Below are 6,461 nucleotides of genomic sequence, written 5' to 3'. Positions count from 1 at the left end.
TTGTCAAATGGATAGACTGCAAGAATTTTGACCCATTCTCTAGGTTTTCTGTTCACTCTGATGATTGTTTCTTTTGCTGTGCATTTTAATTGGAGAATTTAATCCATTTACATTCAAGTTTATTAAATGGACTTGTTCCTGCCATTTTGTTAACTGTTTTCTGATTGTTTTGTAGATTATTTGCTTCTTTCTTTCTTATTGCTTATATTTCTGATTTGGTGGTTTTCTCTACTGATAAGCTTTGATTCCTTTCTCCTTCTGTCTCTTGCATCTGCTATATTTTTTTTCTCTGTGGTTACCATGGGGCTAACATAAGGAATCTTGTAGTTATACTATTTTAAGCTGATAACAACTTAACTTTGGTTGCATATATACACTAGATTTTTATCCTCCACCTACAATTTATATTTTTGTTGCCTTAATTTACATGTTTTCGTATTGTGGGTTCCCTAACAACTTATTGTAGCTATAGTTACTTTTGGCCATTTTGGCTTTCAACCTTCATACTAGATATTTGAAACATTTTCATACCATCGCTACAGTACACTGATAGTAATGACTTTCCTTTTGTTTCCTGTTGAAACACTTCCTTAAGCATTTTTTGTAAGGCTTGTCTAGTGGTGATAAATTCTTCCACATTTTGCTTGTTTGGGAAAGACTTTATTTCTCCTTCATTTCTGAAGGATAGTTTTGCAGGGTATGGTATTTTTGATTGGTAGTTTTTATGTCTTTTAGCATTTTGACTATATCATCCCATTCTCTCCTGGCCTGCAAGGTTTCTGCTGAGAAATCTGCTCAGTCTAGTGGGAACTGTCTCATATGTAACTTAACACTTTTCTCTTTCTGCTTTTATAATTCTCTGACTTTGACTTTTGATTTGATTACGATGTGCCTCAGAGAGGATATTTTTGGGTGAAATCTATTTGAGAACTTCTGAACTTCCTAGATCTGAACTTCCCATATCTTTCCCAAGACTTGGAAAGTGTTCAGCTATATTTTGTTAAATAAGTTTTCTATAACTTTCTCCATCTCTTATCCTTCTGAACCCTCATAATGCAAACATTTGTTCACTTAACGTTGGCCTGTAAGTATCATGGGCTTTCTTCATTCTTTTTAATTCTTCTTTTTTTAAATCTGACTGGGTTATTTAAAAAAAAAACCTGTCATTAGGTTCAGAAATGCTTACTTCTGCTTGATCTAGTTTGTTGAAACCCTCAGTTGTATATTAAATTTCATTTATTGAATTTATTAGCTCTGAGATTCTACTTGGTTCTTTTTTTAAAAAAATCCATCTCTTTGTTGATTTTCTCATTCATATCATGAATTGTTCTAATTTTATTGAATTGTCTACCTATAGTCTCTTGTATCTCACTAAATTTCCTTAGGATTATTGTTTTGAATTCCATTTCAGGCATTTTGGAAATTTCCTTTTCTTTGGGGGCCAGTTATTCGAGAATTATTGAGTTCCTTTTGTGGTGTCAAGAACATTCACCTTTTCCAATTTTATGGAGTAGCTTTCATAGGGAAAGACTTCTCTTGCAGATGAGTTCTTGGGTGGTGGTTGGGTATTGTGCGTGGTTTTTGTTTTTTTAATGATGCAGTTATGTAGTAAATGTGAAGTCTTTTTCAGCAATAATCAACATTAGCAATGCCTGTGAGTGCCTCAGTGGCCTAGACTGCAGGAGTTTGTGGGTTTGTGGTGGTGGTGGCATGGCTTTATTGGGGGAAGAAGGCCAGCTGGTGCTGAAGTCAAGGGGTGTGTGCACTGGGTCTGCTGGTTTGGGAGTGACCTCACCAGGGGAAAGGCATCAGGTTGTTTCTCAAGCTAAGGGGCATTTGTGGTGGCCTTGCTGGGGTTGGGACACTGGGCTGGTTCCTAAGCTGAAGGGATGAACTCAGTGGGTCCACTGGCTTAGGGGTAGCCTTCCTGGGGGTGCGGCATTGGATTGGTTCCCATACCAAGAGAGTGTATACTGTGGGTGCACTGACTTGGGCTTTGCTTCTCTGCATGCAGGACTGCTTGTTACTTGAGGGCAGGGGAGCAGTGATCTTTTGCACTGGGGTCGCAATTGTTCCATTTGGTGAAATGATGGTAGAGATGCAGTGCTTACTCTAGCAGATAGCAGTGGCTACAGTTTCAAGATGGTGCTGTGCCTTAGAAGCTTGGGTTGTGGGTGTTGGGAAAGGCATAACATGGGATTCTTCTCTGAAGCAGTGAGGCCATATGAACTTGAGGCATCTCCCTAGACAGGGCTCAGGGTCTGTGAGCACTGTGAGACTCTCCAGTAGCAAAGACTGCAGGTATCCATGGTGGTAATGAAGGCTGTTCAGGATCCCCTCCTTATCTTTTTTCCTGTAAAAAAAAAAATGCACGTTTTGGCTCCAAACCAGTCTCAACTGGGGAGAAGATGTGATGGAAGCAGCATGCTTCGTTCTCTTCTCTATGCTGACATCCTGAGTTTTCATTATGCTCCACAGGGCTCCCTCTACTCCCTGGTATTCCAGCACTCTCTTTTAGATGCTCTAGTCTATATCTAGTTGTTTATTTGTTATTTTGGTCCTTTTTATGTTGAGGGGAAACTAGTGTTAGGCACCTCTAGTCAGCCATCTTGCTGATCATGCATTTCTCTTGATGGTTACCACTGTCGCCGCTGTGCTGCTCATCACATCCCCACACTGCATTTAAAGGAAGAAGGATGAGGAAGAGAAAGGAAAAAAGGGCATTACTATTTTTCAGACTAGTTCCCTGGATACATTTATAATTGGAGATGACTGATGAGACAATTTGGGGACTGGCAAATTATTACGGATTGGACACATATCCTTGGCAGAAAGGGTAACCTTGAGTTATTAGTTGGTTCATGGTCACACTACTTCTACTGAAGGTACATTTGTGTCTTTTGCTATTGTCTTGGATTTATAAAATATTGATATTCTTGAAGTAGATTACTTTTTCAATTGAGCTAACTCTGTCAGTGGCAGCCTGTAAGTTGGAGTCTTTGCATCTTTTTTAGTATATCTTTGAGAACATCCTTGAAATGCTGTTTCTGTCCTTATCTTGGACAAACATTGATTGAATTGGGAAAATAAAACCTCTTTCAGAAAACCTCTTCATACATGCATTAAATTTTATCACATGACACATCTTAATATTTCAGGTTTTTAAATCAGAAATAGTTTTTGGTTTTGCTTCTGATTTTCCTTATCAAAACATTGTAAACATTTAAAAAATCTGATCAAAACAAACTAAGTGTGAAATTATAAATCTTATTTCTATATTTTTGGAATTTCATATAAAATGCTTTCATTGAGTAAACCATGTTGTAGGGTGGAATGCTATGCTTGAGAGGGAAGGAAATATAACGTTTCTAGATTCTATCATGTTATTAAAAGACAAATTGAAAAGTGCCTTTAAGATCTTGATTAATTCACAGGCTTCTGTTCAAAAACTTCAAGTGGTAAATATGCCTGTGGGTTGGGTGTTTTGCTTTTTGCTTTGGGTTATTGCCAGCTGGAAAAAAAATGCTGCTCTAGCAGTTTGCAGCCAAACTGGAAGCACAGGATCAGTGGAATCTCTTAGAAAAGTATTCTTTTGAAATTCTTGTGGTCAATGTATGCTGAAACTGAGAAAGGACAGATACATCTGGCTGGAACTGGCGTGTATTTCATTGCTGGTGGTGTGCTATCATTGGTTTAGTTGACTGTAGCTGCGAGTCAAGTACGTTGTATTCCTTAGGTGTTCCCATGGGAGCCCTAAGGGGTCAGCATTGTCTGGAGGCCTCCAAGGCAGGGACTGTGCTTAATTCCATGAAGATTTCTGTGCTAACATCAACTTTGCTAGTAGCTTTTCTTTAAAAGATCTACAGTGCTTCCTATGTTCACAGAAAAATGGCTGCTCCTGAAGATGGAATGGGAACTTGGTTTCTCATGTTTTGTTAAAGATTTTTTTACTCTGATTCTGTTTCTCAGCCACTGAGATGCAAACTCAAAGACAAATTATGTTTTTTCTTGATGAAATTTGGTTTCATTAACTCATGTGTACCTCTGAAAAGTGGTTAAATACATTGGATATAGACCAAAACTATTAAGAAGAGGACAAATAACCCCAAGCTTACAAACTGGTGGAGAAACTATGAGTGGCTCATGAAAATAAGTTAGGAAGGGAAGTGGGGAGAGTTCCCTGAGGGAATTCTTGGGAATTCAGGAGAAAGGAGCCTAACGTAGTGTTCCTTTCAAAGTATATTTTATGTTGTTAGAATCACGGAGGTGTTTATGAAAACCGAAGCAAAACAAAATAAAACAGAAAGAAACCCATAAAAGGTCTCTGGCCCCAATTAAGATTTATGGGATCAAAATGTAGGGGCTAGAGTGAGGAGGTGGTGTGGGCTGAATTGTGTCTTCTCAAAATTCATACGTTGAAGGCCTTACAGTACCTGACAATGTGACTGTTTGGAGATAGGGCTTTTAAAGAGGTGAGTAAGTTAAAATGAGACCTTTAGGGTGGGCCCTAATCCAATATGGTTGGTGTCCTAAGAAGAGGAGATCAGGAACACGGATGCATAGAAAGATCTCGTGAAGGAAGAGGAAGAAGACAGCCATTTATAAGCCATGGAGAGAAGCCTCAGAAGAAATCAAACCTGCAGATACTTTGATCTTGGACATATAGCCTCTGGAACTGTGAGAAAGTTAATTTCTGTTGTTTAAGACACCCAGTATATGGTACTTCATTATGGAAGCCCTCATACGGTAACAGGTGGAATATGGATTTTTGAGACATCCCACAGGTGATTTTTATGCACATTAAAATTAAATAATTGATATTTTAAGGTTGGAAAAATAAATTTGAGTTGAGCTCCACTTGTTTTTAAAATTTTCTTGAGCAGTTGGTTAAAGTGATCATCAAGAGGAATAAAAAGTTGAAGAGAAAATGCAAGTCTACAAATTCTTATTGAGTATGTGCAACCCAGTGCACAATGCAGGACTGGGCCTTGGTGAGTTTCATTTGGTCTTCAGTACAAATAAGAACCAGGAATTATGCAGATGCCAGGCTCTGGTACTATAATGAGGTGTTCAGCTTCCAGGGACTGAGCATTCTTGCCATCCTCCTTACTCAACTAGGTACATTGAATGTTGCCATCCTTGTCTGCAAAAATAAACAAACAGTGGTGTTCTTAGAGGGAGATGTACTCGTTCACATCACACAGCACTAGGGTCTGGTTCAGGATGGGACAAGCAAGGTGCCCAGGGCACAAAATTTAAGGAGGCAAGGTCATGCAAGTTTGGAATCTGCACTGGCATGATCTGGAGTTAGGAGCTCAGGGCATAGAATTTAAGGAGGCACTGACTTTCAGGGTTCTACAAGGGCAGCGTCAACATTTGCATGATCTTGCCTCCTTAAATTTTGTGCCCTAGTCACCTGTTTGTCTCATCCTAGTCCTGACCTTGGTGCTGTGAGATGTGGACTAGTACATTTCCCTCTAAGGACACACCACTTGTTTGTTTTTGCAGACAAAAAAGGCAACGTTCAATGCATCTGGTTGAGTCTAGGAAGGTGGCAGGAACATGCAGTCCCTGGAAGCAGAGCACCCTCAGTGTTGTGTCAGGGCCTGGTATCTGATTAATTCCTGGTTCCAGTGTGTATTGAAGCCAAGCAAAACTTAGTCTGCTTGTTAACTGCAGTCAAGAGAGGGTTTGGGGACAGATGGGGATAGTCCCCCACCTTTTCTATGTCCTTTGTTTAAAGTGCACACCTGGCATCTTGCCTGGTACATTCAAGGGAGTACATACAAAAACTGGTGATTGTTTTTGTTGAGTTTCTTGTTGGCAGGGGTTTGTTTCTCCTGCAGGTAGAGGTTTAGTCTAAGGATTATCTGGTCCAAGGACCAACTCCAAGGAGTCTTTCAAGCTCCTCTCATCGATTCTCTCAACATCAGATCCAACAGTAAATGATCACAGGGACTTTAAGGATTATTAAGCTGAAGACTTCATTTTACAGATGAAAAAACTGAGAGGAACAGAAGGGAATTAACTATTCAAGATACCAGAGCAACATACTAGAAAAGCAGAGACTAACAATTAAGTCTGGTAACATGGGTCAGTGTTCTTTCTCCTATACTAGTGTGATTCAGGCCATGCAGACAGCAGGGTGGATTCTTAAGGAATCTGTTTGTCATCTTCACCTGCTAAGGTCTATGCAGGAGGACATACTCAGTGTTTCCCTGACAGGTCCCATGTCCACATATCTTCTCTTGGGAGGCACTTTTGAGATACAGTTGAACAAAATTGCTTTTTCCCCCAACTGTTACCAAATGGGCGACATCCTTTCAAGAATAAACAAAAGTTTTTTTTTTCAGTTAAAAAGTTGTCTTTTGCTCAGTATTGCCCTATGGCAGGGGTTTCAAGGAGTCTACAAGCCTGCTGAAATTGTATGTACAGTTTTGTGTGTTTTATGGGTTAGAATT

General features: G+C 39.5%; 1 annotated feature.

The window, feature by feature from the left end:
• Nucleotides 3,859–4,028: an enhancer, noted in NCBI's record as "experimental_61943 CRE fragment used in MPRA reporter constructs". NCBI's record gives its function as "activates a minimal promoter by MPRAs in K562 erythroleukemia cells, with activity observed for both the introgressed and non-introgressed 21:32296411 variant alleles {active_cell/tissue: K562}" and the evidence as "EXISTENCE:reporter gene assay evidence [ECO:0000049][PMID:34662402]".

Source organism: Homo sapiens, chromosome 21, assembly GCF_000001405.40.
Source record: "Homo sapiens chromosome 21, GRCh38.p14 Primary Assembly".
NCBI classification, from domain to species: Eukaryota; Metazoa; Chordata; class Mammalia; order Primates; family Hominidae; genus Homo; species Homo sapiens.
The sequence above is the reverse complement of the archived record's forward strand: the minus strand, read 5'-3'. Positions and strand labels throughout refer to the sequence as shown.